The sequence below is a fragment of the Homo sapiens genome, chromosome 3 (genome assembly GCF_000001405.40).
Source record: "Homo sapiens chromosome 3, GRCh38.p14 Primary Assembly".
NCBI classification, from domain to species: domain Eukaryota; kingdom Metazoa; phylum Chordata; class Mammalia; order Primates; family Hominidae; genus Homo; species Homo sapiens.
Window position 1 is genome coordinate 115061027 of NC_000003.12, and position 14073 is coordinate 115075099.

The 14073-nt window shown below is 34.5% G+C and overlaps 1 protein-coding gene across 8 annotated transcripts in view; it reads right to left on the reverse strand.

Annotated features, from left to right (window-relative positions):
- Positions 1 to 14073, reverse strand: part of ZBTB20 (zinc finger and BTB domain containing 20) — an 832789-nt gene that overhangs the window by 746527 nt on the left and 72189 nt on the right. For 4 of the 8 annotated variants that reach the window (NM_001348800.3, NM_001348803.3, NM_001348805.3 and 1 more), the window contains one exon: positions 10193 to 10388. The exons of the other annotated variants lie outside the window; for them this stretch is intronic. The gene's annotated coding sequence lies outside the window, so the exon portion shown is untranslated. Of the gene's footprint in view, positions 1 to 10192; positions 10389 to 14073 lie in introns of those variants that run through there. 8 annotated transcript variants of the gene reach the window in all.

Consider the following 14073-nt stretch of genomic DNA (forward strand, 5'->3'; position numbering starts at 1 on the left):
ATCATTTCTGGAAGTTATGATGTTCAGTCAAAGAAAGTTTAGACTTTGGAGCAAAAGTCCTTAGGTTTGGATTCCAGTTGTTCTGATAGACAGCAGTGTGGCTTGAAAAAGATATATTTACTTTCAGTTAACACATCTATAAATGGAGATAATAAAATTTTCTTGGAGCATGGTGATTATTAAATGAGAATAAGTGAAAAGGTATGACCTACTGCCTACTGCTAAAAACTTTTTATTTGCTTCCTTTTGGTTTCCTCACCTGCAAAATGCAAATAGTCATCCCTGTTTACTTTTCAGGATTCCCTTAAGGATTCAGTGAATACATACATTGTGATACTTTGAAAAACACACATTATATAAATATGCAAGTTTTTAAAAAAATTATGGTCATTATTATTCTTGAATAAAAGTTACCAAACTCTGTGGACTTAGATTGTAAATTTGCCAAAATAGTCTCCTATTAACCAATTTATTGATTTCCATTCATTTCTTCTAATTTGAAGATTATTCTTCTTGGAAAGAAAAATATAGGCAAAATATTTGTTCATCATCTCTGCCTTCTCTGTGTCATCTCTGAAAATTATGTCATATTCTCCCAAGTAATGCCTCTATCTATTCAGTCTGAGGTGACTTTTCAAATCTCTTCTAAAAGTTTACGATTTTACAAGAGTAAATTAGAGTGTTCTTGTACACACACACAAGAGACCAAAAAAAATCAGAACACATTTTCACAAACAGCTGAAACTATTTAATATGGGTATCCTTAAAAACAATAAAATATTATGAACAGTAAAAGTCAATTATTTATTTTATGACAGAAATATTTCAGTGTGATTATATCTGAGTATATCTTCAATTTTTTTTGTTCAGGCAGCAAGCATTGGTCCTTTTTACCAACCACTACAAATTATGCACCCTAAACATTATGCACTCTATGCTATAAAATGACAATATAAAAATATAATCCAATCTACATTAATTGAACATAAAGTACATTCTGATACTCAGCTTAGACTAACCATAACACAGAATTTGTCATTAAACGTTCAGTTCACACACATACACTCAAAACTGATCCAACAACTCCTATTATGCCAGTTACCAGCATTGCCAGCCCCTTTGCCCTTCACTGCCTGGAGAACGTCCATCAGAAACAGGGAAGCAGAGCAAACTGCCACAATGCACCATTGATGTTTGAGCAAGGCTGCCTAAGCAGCTGCAATAACAGGGCAACTCTTCAAAGTGTCAGCATTGAAACTTACAATTCTCTCTCCCATACACTATCAATGAAAACCTTTATAAGCTACAATCAATTATAAAATAAATCTTTGAGACAAATCATGTTCTTTCTTCATTTCTTCTCTCCTTCTTTTCCTCCCAAAACCAAATGTCCTTGGTTAAAAGAAAAATTCAAGGAGAAATATCCCCCCTTTCTATCTTGGTCTCTGCCTCTGCCTCTCTTATGTCTAAAAATTCTCTCAAGGAGGTTTAAGGATATCTGCTAAACACTTTTGTTTACAAGACAAGTTCTGGGGTTTTTTGTTTGTTTGCTGTTGGGTTTTTATTGTTGGAATGTTTTTATTTTAAAAATTCAAAAGGCACTTGATATTTTGAGCACACTCATACTAGATTTTTGGCAAAGCATGTTTTTGATTATTAAAAGACAATCTAAATTCTGAAATGCATGCACCAAATCACATAACCTCCATATTTTTGTAAACCACAACAAAAGTGCCTCATATTAGCTACAGATGAATAGCTAATGAGTCAGCAAACAGTTAAAAACATTCCATGAGAATAGATGCACTAGCCATGCAAAGTTTTTGAGGGAAAAATATATTAAGTATTTAAAAACTACTTAGAATGAAGGGAAACTATTCTTTCTTTAACAAAGCAACTATGTTTAATTTGTCTTATGATTATACCTACCAAACCAAATGAAAGTTTATCTGTCTTTTTCTATTTCTCCTTAGCCATCAATAGTTAATGCCTTTTTAAATTTTGTAACATATATTTAAGGTCTCAGAATTGTAGCAACAACTTTTAGATTCTTCATCATTGTTTTTATCATTCAAACAGCATGCGAAAACCCCTTCAAATATAATGTCAAGGTATAACTCTAATTCCTGCAGATAACAAAAATATATACACTTCATCATGAGTTAATCTACTACCTGAACAATCAAAGTCCAAAATACTTGGTATCTGAGTTCAGGGTGCAATAATAATAAATTGCCATAGACTTGGTTAAACAACAGAATTTAACAACAAAAATGTATTTCTCACAGTTCTGAGGGCTGAGAAGTCTGAGATTAGAATGCCAGCATGACCAGGTTTTGATGAATGCCTTTGTCCTGGTTTGCATATAGTAGTCTTCTCACTGCGTCCTCACATGATGGAGGGCCAAGAGACAGAGTGGAAGCAAGCTTCTATAAGGGCACTATTCCCATCTTGAGGGCCCCACCTTCATGGCCTAATTACCTACCAAAGGCCCCATGTACAAATGCCATCACATTAAAGATTAGGTTTTCAATATATGAATTTTGAGGTGACACAAACATTCAGCTCATAGCATTTAGAAATCTGTAAGAATTTTTAGTTATCATTTCTCATTATTGTCAAAGCAACACACACACACACACACACACACACACACAAACACACACACACAGTTTACCAGTTAAATAGTACCACAAAGTTTATACAAAATACAGCATCCCGTATCCAAAACTTTGACCCTCTGCCAAAACTCATTCTAGTGTTTGCCTGATTTCTAAATAATATGCTTCTATTGTTATTTTTATTTATAAATTTTAGACATAATATATTAACTTCCTATCATGGCAGAAGACTTAGTTCTTTGATACTACCTCATTTCCCTTTCTTCCATCCTTCCAGTAATCAGTGAAGTAATATTTTTGAATACATTTGGTACCTTGAGTAGTAACAATATTTCCTTCCTATTGTTAATATTGTCACTTTGCCCCCCACATTCCCAAGGTTTGCAACAGAAATGTAAAACCTCTATAAATATAATATTTCACACTCTTACACATGAAGAATCCTATTCTAATTCTTTCCCCTGAAGACATCCCTTTCGGGAGTTCTCCATCTTCTAGCTCAAGTAAAGACTGCTTATTTTTAAGATCAATGCACAGAAGTTATCCAGTAACTTCCCTTCACCTTTCTCACCTCATTTTAATCACCTGTTTCCTGAACCCTCTATCTTGGTCTTTTCTCCTCAGTTTTTCCTCACTTGGACGTAGCATACCCTTGAAACAATTCCGGAGAAAGCAAGTGTGGGGGTACATTTGGAGAACCATGTGTCTAAAAATAAAAATGTTTTTTCTACCCTTATACGTAATTGGTAGTTTGGGTGTAGAATTCAAAGTTAAAAGTAATTTTCTCTCATAATTCTTTTTTTTTTTTTTTTTTTTTTTTTGAGACGGAATTTCGCTCTCGTTTCCCAGGCTGGAGTGCAATGGCAAAATCTTGGCTCACTGCAACCTCCGCCTCCCGGGTTCAAGTGATTCTCCTGCCTCAGCCTCCCAAGTAGCTAGGATTACAGGCATGTGCCAACACACCCAGCTAGTTTTAAATTTTTTAGAGATGAGGTTTCACCATGTTGGTCAGGCTGGTCTCGAGCTCCTGACCTCAGGTGATCCACCTGCCTCAGCCTCCCAAAGTGTTGGGATTACTTACAGGCGTGAGCCACCGTGCCCGGCCTTCTCTCTGAATTTTAAAGCCACATCTTCTAGCTTTGAATGTTGTCATTAAGAAATCAGATACCATTCTGGTTCTTGAGCCAATGTATGAGGCCTATATTTCTCTCGGGAACTTTCTATTATCATCTATTTATTACTGTTATTTTGAAATTTTCCAATTATGCATCTTGGTGTGGAATTGCTTTCACATTTTTATGGGCACTCAGAAGATCCTTCCAAACTGGAACCTTTGGGGCTGAAAAATTTTACCATATACTTTTATAACAGTTTCCTCCCTATCATTTTCTTTGCTCTCGCCTGCCTTCTGAACTTCCCATTAATCAGATGTTCAGCTTGTTGGATCGTTTGTTTGATTTTTATCTCTTCTCTCCTATTTTCCATTTATTTGACTTTTTTTTGCTCTATTTTCAGGAAAATTTCTATCATATAAAAGCTTATTTCAGTTATTATAAAAGTGCTTATTCTCTGGTTATTTCTTCTTTTTATATAATCTTGTCATGTTTCATAGTAGCAGTATCTTCTGCTATCTCTCTGAGTATATTAATTATACTTTATTTCTACTTCAGCTACTGTTTTCTACAGGACATACTGCCTCTAATTCTTAAACAGGTTCTGGAGTATGAACTGTCTTGTTTCTCATTGACACAACACTCTCCAGTCACATGTATTCGGCTTTCCCATTTCTGCCAGTTCCTCCTTTACATCTTCCAAAAGTTGTGTCTCTTTAATATGTTGCTTCCTCTTCCTTATGCCTGTGGATTTATATATTTTTTAGTCTTTTGCTCAAAATTTTTAGTCCCTTACTAGGAAGGAACATGGAAAAACATGTGTTCAATCACGAAGTTTAACTGGAAGTCTGCTGTTAAATTTCCTGAAGATGTTAATCCTAGAGCTATAATCATGCTATTCACAGGGTCATAAAATCATAGGGCTCTTACTATAAAAAGGTTATCAGAGATCATCCGATTCAACCCTCTTATTTTATAAAAGTGAGAAAATGGAAACCCAAAGAGGTTAAGTGGTTTGTGCAAGGTTATTTAAATAGCAATCCATACATTTGGTATTTGACTTGCTTTCATTACCATAGTGCCTCCTCAAATAGATATCCCCTTAAAGTAGTGACTCAGAAGACTCCCAGACACATCCTAGGGTTAACACATTTGAATAAGCCAATCTAGCTTTTGGATATAAAATGGAGGAGAGCTGTCATTAAAGAAAATCTGGGAAAAAATGTCTCCAAGAATAAATATTTGACTCTGGACATCCTGTTTTCTACTAGTAGAAATTCCCTAATCAATACTCTCCCATGAAACTCATTCCCCTTATTCAGCTTCAGCATAACACACTTATCCTAACTTTTACTCTTTCAGGTTACAGAATCACATCATATTTTCTCAAAGCAAGGTAAATCTGTGTTTGAAATTCAAATGAATCTTTTATATCTTTCCTAAGTTTCTACCCTCAATTCCTTCCTGACCTCTGGCTGGCCACCAACCTCCTACTCCTAAAATAGTCCTTTTTTTTTTCTGCAAATGGCACCACCCAGGTACTCGAGAAAAACATCTTGAGAGTCATCCTAAACTTCTCTTTTTCTTTAACAGCATCCAACTTCCACCCCTTCACCGATACAGTACCCAAATCTTATCAATTCTACTTCCTAAAAATCCCTTGAATCCATTCCTCTTAGGTTCCTCATAGCTTCACAGTCACTGTTTCAGTTCATGCCCTCACTATACTTCACCCTGATTTCCATTAATTGTCTTCTAACAGTCTCACAGACTCTGGTCTGCTTTCTTCATACCCCTTCTTCCACACTCAATTGCTGAAGTGCTTTTTCTCAATAGAACTAAGAAGTCATTTCCTCACTTAAAACCCTTCAGAGGATCCCACCTCATTTCTGACTTCTTAGTATAGCATATATAAGGCACTTCATGATAGGCACCTACTTATCCCTCCATCTTCATCTCCTGTGGCTCTTCACCTTGCATGTTATGGAACTAGAAATCAGAAAATCAAAAGTCTCCTCTCGGGTTTCTATTCACACTGGATTTTCAACACCAAATGCCAAATGTCCCTTCCCCTGTCTTCTCCCAAATAAAGGAATCCAACAAAAGAGAGTGAAAAGATTAAAAACCAGTTAAAACCATTTAAAATTATTAAAGTGCTTTTACCATAATATTTTACATTTATATTTATAATATTTTATCTTTATCTTTTAGGGATTATAGTCTGTTTAAATATGTTGGTAGTACATTAAATTATTATTCAGAACACTGAAGATGTAAATTAAATATGACCATAACAATAATAATTAGACTCTTATCATGTGAAATAATTAAGGAATTAACACATTATTATAGTAAGGGCCAAATCTAAGAAATGTACTATACCATACCACCAGACTGCACACTTTTAGTAGACAGGACTGTGTCTTAATCATCTTTACATTCCCTACTATGCCAAATACTATCCCCAACATAATAGATGCACAGTGAATTAGTAAATGATTAAATAAAATTAGAAATAATATCACACCCACAAACCCGGGAAGCAATTATTTGCCTACTACTTGATGAGGCCAATAATTCAATGATATTTATTATTATAGTTGATCGAGTTAGTCAAATGTCATGAGTGCCTCTTAAAAAATTTATATATATACACACATTTTTCTGCAGATCTTTATACGGAACATCAATCTAATCTTTATTTGGGCATATAAATCATTCAATGGATAACACAGTGAAAATTTTCAACATAACAGAAAGACATATGCTATTTGAAAAATCAGTAAAAAAAAAAAAAAAGATGATTCTATTGTTGGTATTCTTATCTTCAGATTGTCCTCCACAGCACATCCCTCTGATACAGAGAAATAAAAACTTTCTTACCTAGAACTCTGATCAAGTTACTGCCTTTTATACCACTATAATGATATTCAAACTGGCTTCTAAGCAAAATAGAACAGAAACATTGCACATGCACATGCACTTGAATTGTACACTTCTTCTATCGTATCAACTTCATGTACCATGATATGCTCGCCATTAATATGCACTAAAGCTAACTTGCTAGCCTGCCGCAATTTTATTGTTGCAGCAAAACAATAGTGGTGGATTAACCCATCACCTCAAGTTTAGCAATACATCCTGGACCAGTTATAGATATGCATTAATCCACAACTTAAAATGTAAAATATCAAGGAGCTGGGCCAATCCAGGCATATGAGTCAAGAACACAGCACTTCAAACATATCCAAACTGAAACTGGTTCTTTTCTCTGCCTAGAAAGGTACTTAACAATGGGTTCTGAATATCATGTTGACTGACAGGTATGTCATATAAAGAAGGAAATCCTCTTAAATCTTACCTCCTTAAAAATATCAGGTTTAACAGAAGAGTATGATGTGTAGATCCCTACTAGATAGAAGCCTGAATACCTAACCCATTATATAAATAGTATGTATTGTATAGTATATAAAGGCTGCGATTTTCTGGGCTGCTGCCTACTTTTTATGTTTTACTGTTGTCTTCATGTAAAATAACTGTATGGAAATGGTATACCTAAAGAGACAAAACGGGTGAAATTTAAATCAACCAACTAAAGAATAAACAGTATAGGTTAAAAAGGATACATGTTAACAAAATGATGACACACAGCAGAATAAAGAAAATATATGAAGAATACACATCTGAGGGCAAAAGGCTGAGGACAGTTGAAATTGATAGAATTTGTAATGACTGAAATAAAAGCACAAGAAAGAGTAGAGAAGAAACTTGAATAATATTCATAGATAGGAATGAACTGTGGAAATTCCAATGCCATGATAAGGCACGATATAGAATGATTGTATTTCTTTTATCCAAAAGCTTCACGACAGGTAAAGATAGACTATAATCTGAAGAACAAATAGACCTAATTTCCATTATAGGCCCCGAAAGTGACCAATAGTGATACTTATAATATTTAAGAAAGCAACTGGGCACTTAACTTTAGATTATACCATTTAAATTTTTTTCAACTTGGGAAAATGTTTCAAATTCCACTTTGCTACCTACTTGCTTTATTTTTTAAAAAATTAGAAAAATGCCATGTAAATCACTGTAGATAGTATTGCATTGCTTGTTTGAAAAAAAAAAAAGTTGACAGTTTGATAGTGCATTCATTCTTATGCCTCCAGCACTGAATCAACCACTATAACATTCAAACCAAGAGGAAACTTTCAGCAGTCTTGATGCTGTCTCCTACTCTGAAGTGTGAGTCTCTTTTCTACAAAGAGCACATGCTTAGGGAGGAAAACAGGATATGAAATTACACAAAAATATGTGCCCCAGCATTCAGAAAGAAAGCAGGTAAAAGCTTAATTCTCCTCCAAAAAAAGCAGTTTCTAAATGTGGATTCATTAATGAAAACTTACAACCTAGCAGTCAGCAGAAGCATTTAGGAATGGAAGGCATACAGTACAATGCCAACTATTAGAATCAGTGTTCTACTACCACACAACTATTCTAGCTTAGCTAACAGTCTTTTTTGTCACGACTTTTGTTTCTTTTTCCTTTGTTTCCTCTGTTTTCAATCGGGAGAGAACTGTGTGAAGCTGAGTGTTCGTTTAAGTCAGAAACACGTTGGCTAGATCTAGGTTCAGTGTGGGTGAGTACTGTGTAAGCATTCCACACACCTCCACTAATATGCCACGAACTCTCCATATCCCAAGCTTTCTGATAGGATTCAGTTGAGACTACACATAGCGCTTTTACTTATGTCACACATGTGATCTCAGGTCTCAGCACGTACTGACATAGGTAGTTACCATCAAACTTGCTCTTCTCATAAATCCTGAGAAAAAAAGGTAGGTTGGAGGTAGAAAATGGACAGAATGTCTCTGCTAACCTAAACAGAACTAGTATGTGTTGCTGCTAAAATATTCCAATAGCTGGCAGCAATGATCCATAACATTATATTTGTAATATAAGTATACATAAACACTACAACAGATGATCTCAGATTGTCATTGATAATGATGATGGCTAACTTTTTTTAGTATGTTACTTGTACCAAGCATTGCTCTATGTACTATACATCTCATTTAATCCTCATATACAAAAAAAAAAAAATATTCTTGGGTAAAGTTATTTTCATTTTCATTTTACACAAAAGGACATTGAGATACAGAAAGAAACTGAATAAATTGATTTTAACATATTTAACTTATTTAAAGTTAAAACATGAAATTATTTACTAACCCTTTGATGTAGGACCAATGGCTGTCACTGACTCTTGATCTGCTATATAAAGTTTCATGTTTTCCTTCTTGCTTAAACTACACCATGATGTATCACCTATGATTTCCTGTTTTGGTTTATTTAAACTCAATGACAGCTTAAAGGTACTTGGAAAGCAAACTGAATGAGGGATCCTTCCAGCTTTTTACATTTTTTCACCCCTACCTCAGGCAATCTTTCACAGTTGTCTAGCCCACACCTTTTTAAACTGCAATTTGTTTTAGCAACTCACCTTTAAAAAGTCTTTCCAAAGCACCAACTTAAATTTCATAAAATCAACAACTCTTTATATTTTTGAACTCATATTTTATCAGTTTGCATAATTAAATTACAATTGCACATTCATTTGGCATAAACAAATTCAAAAACAAACACAAATGACTGTAGATAAGCATGGCAGCAGGTAAACAGATGAACAGAAACACACCATTTTTTCAGAGTATTCTGTTGGCCAGAAGCAGGAATAACCTAAGAGGGAGTCTACTGTATACCTACCATTTCCTAATTATAAACAATACTATTTAATAGGTATATTAGCTTTCTGGAAGAATGGATTTACCATGGAAAAATACAAACAAATTTAGCAGGGAGGTTCACAATGATACCAAAATTCTACACTAGAAAAGTAATACATTCCTTCTTATCTTTCTTTAATTAGAAATTGTAGGAGACTTCTTCACTGACAAAAACTAAGAGCACAAAATTCCACCCCAAACTCAATTCAGCATAAGAAGACTCCTACCCAAAGCATAAACATATATACTCACATAAAAAATAAAAAAAACTTTTAAAATTAATAAAGAAATTAAGGTTTTAAGAAAGAAACTTTCTCCCTACTAGAGAAAACCATCACCTCTTGGTGGGGAAAACTGAATTTAAAGTTCAGGTTCGGGCAGTTACTACTTATGTGATGGAGTAAATCAATTCACCTCACTGAGCTATAGTATCCTTTTCTGAAAAAAAAAAGATAATAATAATGGTTCTCTCCTCACAAAACTGTAGTCAGAATTATATAAAATAAAATATATAAAGACACTCTGCAAACTATCAATCATCTTATACATATAAATTGTTATTACTGGAAATCCTAGCTTATATTTTGGACAGAGAATTTCAGAGTCAAGGGAAGTCATTTCACAAATGACAAGGCTGTGATTCAAAAGCCTAAATTACTTTCCTACTTACAGTGGCATGGATGACGGAGCAGAAATAGAGAATTCTTGATTAACCAGGAGAAGAATATCATAGGCATGGGTGTGAGATCAACTGGAGATTCAAGGAAGCTAAAGTGCCCAGAATGAACTAATGTTGTAATGTAGACTGTGAGCAGAGATAAAATTCCAGAAGCCAAGGAGTGTTGTACGGTAAGTCCTGGCAGTGCCTTTGGTGAGGAGAGTAAAGAAGAAATAGAAAGATTAGCCAAAAAAAATTTCAACTATACCAAATTAGTATTCCATCCTGCACAGTAAAATTTTGATGCCTTTACAAACTAAACAAAGTAGGGAATTTAAGATAATTCCCATGTTTATGCTGTTTCTTTCCACTGGTCAGAATAATTAACCATAGGTTAGGAAGTTAAGAAAACAATAGGATAGACGTCAGTGAAGTTCAAGTGCTTTAATTGGATTCCTTTGGGTACAGTTTGTTTCCCTTTTTCTCTGACCATTAATCCAGCAGAGGAAAGTGATCTAACACAGCACCATGACATGAAGGGACGGACCCTGAGAGCCTGTCTCTCTATGATGACTGTTCTTGTGCATCCAGGCAGCCTATTGAAACTAACAATGCCTGCTGCTGCTGCCGAAGAGGATCATCCAAACTCTGAAAATGAAACACATCACACAAAGGGATGAAAGAATTCTTATTCCACAGGGTTTAGCTTGCAGCTGGTCATGCATGCCAGAGGGATGTGCCACGAGGATGACAAAGAAGCTTCCAAAGAGAATGGAAGGGGCAGCCAGCCGGACATTTTGAAATACTTAGAAAACTATTCTTTTGAAACTAAGGCAATAAACTAGACTTCTTTATGGCAGAACTTGAGAAATATCAGGGTTTATTTCTTTTATCTCTGCAATTCACCCACATTTAAACATTCTTGCGAGTAAAAGAAATTTGAATAATTTCTAATTGGTTATACAGTTTTGAGGGTTTCCCATTCATAAGAGACCATATTATATAATTGATTATTTTTTCCTCCGAGTTGAAGCTCTATATCACCCCAGAGTTTAAAACTGTATGGAAGAATAGGTATTGGGCTTTTCTGTAACTGATGTAGATACAATGAATAATAAATATGCTTGTTATACCAAGTAGCATGCTGGTTAAGATCACAGACTTTGAGGTCTCAGTGATGTAACTGACGGAATACTCATTGCATGGCATCAGGTCTCATGGGTTCTAAGGATCTCGAATAGCTGTGTCAGGTAAGAGTTTGCCCACAGGAAGTGCTCCAAATAGAATTAAGAGTCATAAGAACCTGCCATACAGCTGCCATTGCTCTTGGCCCCTCAGTTGGTCACAGCAACGCATAATCCAACTCTTAAGCTGCCTTGGATATCCATGTTTAAAGAGGGTCAAAAGCAGCACCTAAAGTTTTGAAAGACAATGCTGCACTGGGGCATCGGCCTTTTCTGATTAAGTTCACTCATTCATAGCAATCTAAAAAGAACACTGGCTCTCCCTCTCTGGCCCTTCTCCACTACTGTTCCAAAAAGCTCACCTTCCTCTGTTTACAGGATAAACGTGAAAGGCTCTTTTCATTGCCCTTAACAGTACACACAATAGACTTGGCAATCATTTCTACCAATTACATCAATGACTCATATGAACTCTGCATAACCAGATGCGTGACTTTGTGGAAGTTATTTAATCTCATTTAGCCTTAGATTCCTCATTGGTCAAATGAAAATAATATCTGTCTTATGAGATTGTTGTGAAGAATAATAAGATAATATTTACCTCACAGTTTAGTTATAAGCACAAGGGGTGATTCAATAAATGTCAGTCATTATCAGTGTCATTTTCTATAACAGGAGTAACAAATAGTTCATGTAAGAAACTGAAATGAGAACTGGAACACAGTATCAAAAATATTCCCCTATCCTGTCAGGATGCTGTCATTGATTCAAACATTCTGTCATTTATTTCAGGTTAGAACACAGTTTAAGAAAAGCATTGCTTCCTCAAAAGATTATGTCAAAGTGAAAATAACTAATTGGGAGAAATATTTCTTTTCCATGTATTCAACTTGTTTGTTCTAAATAATCTACTTCAAACTACTGTAAATAAGTTCTTGTTAAAAGTGTTTTAACTTTTCAAATGGCTACTAATATACGATGTTTTACAGATAAATCTTTGGCATTGGAGGGTTTCCCTAATTGTTCTGATATTTCTTATTCCCGACTCCTACCATCCACTTGCTCAGAAGCTCTTCCAACCTCTCTCAAAAAGAGAAAATAATTTGAATGAAAACTCATACTACAAAAGCAACGTTAAAATATATTTGAGAAAAAATGACTCTCACCCTAGGTCATGCTACAAGTGCTGTACCATTCAATGGCACAAAATTAACTTTTAGCTCTAAGTTCATTACCAAAGAATTCTAAAGACTAAAGAAAGCATAGGGAAATTAAAAATATTTATAACTATAAACAAAGATAAGAGATTATAATGAGAAAAAATTGTATATAAGGAGATATTTATAATATAATTAAAAATTAACCGTATACAATAAAATTTAACTCAAAATAAACCTTTCCCTAAGAATTATAAAATATTTTAAATTCAAACTTAATTCTAGTAAACTAAATAAATCCCTACCATTAATTACTACTTTGCATTATGAAACTTTGCTCCCAAAATTTTATGCTAAAATCTTCCACATAAGTTCTGAAGACCAAAAAAATCCCTACTATTTCATTCTAAAACAATTGGTCCATAATTAGTGAAAATCTAAGTCATTTTTCTCACCTTTCCTTTCAGCAATGCCCATCCAATCAATCACTAGATCCTGTCAATTCTTTATTTCCACTATTATAGCCTAGAATCCTAAATAATCTAATTATTTTCAGCCTCTTACCTCTTTCATCCATATTTATGCTTCAAGAATTACCTTCTATTAAAAAGAAAGGCTCAAAGAATTTCCCTCACCTCCTCAAAAACCTTAGATTGTTTACAGAATAAAATGTATCTCTAAGCATAGCATTCAGTCTTTCACAGTGTGGCACAGAACTACAATTAACAGTAATTAAATAAATGTAAAAGGTATTCATTAACTGCCTGATAGGTTCCAGACTCCAAACTTGATAGTGGGTTGGTAGTGGTGACAAAGATGAGCTCAACACAGTACCTGTTCTCAAAGAAGCCAGTTTAGTAAGGAAGCAGGTAAGTAAACTAAAACTTGTACTGCCATTTAGTTAGTACAAAAAAGGTAACTAACTACACTGTGCTACTAGAATTAGACAGTAAGTCCCAACTCATTGAAAAGTAAAATAGAAATATGTTGGTTTTCTGCTTCTGAAAATGATGAAGTAACAGAAATAGCATACACCTCCTGCCTTAAACAACTAAAAATCTAAACAAAATATATAAAATATTTGCTTGCAGACATTGCACAACAGGCACAGCACAGCAATTGCTGAGAAAAGGAAATTAACAAGGTTATTCCTGCTATTGCTGTAGTATGCTGTCTTGAGAGAGTTATCAGACCATGACTCAGGGAGGTAGAATCCTAACAGAGATTGTTTTATCTAGGGTCACACTAATAGTGAGGAGTGGAGCTGGGCCTCTGATAGGAACCTTTCTGACTGCAAAGTCCCCAGAAGTTTTAATTTTTACTCACCTCTACCTTTTTATTTTTTCTTTTACACTATAGAAATCATACTTCAAAATTTAAATACTAATGCATTCAGTGAATCTCCCCGATCCCAACTGTTCCCAGTCACAGTAAAGATATTACCATCCTCTAAATACTGTATTACTTTGTGTTTACGGTTATATAACATTAACTTTCCTGCTATATTTAATAATAATTTTAATGTGAATTAACATTTATTGAAGCCTTACTA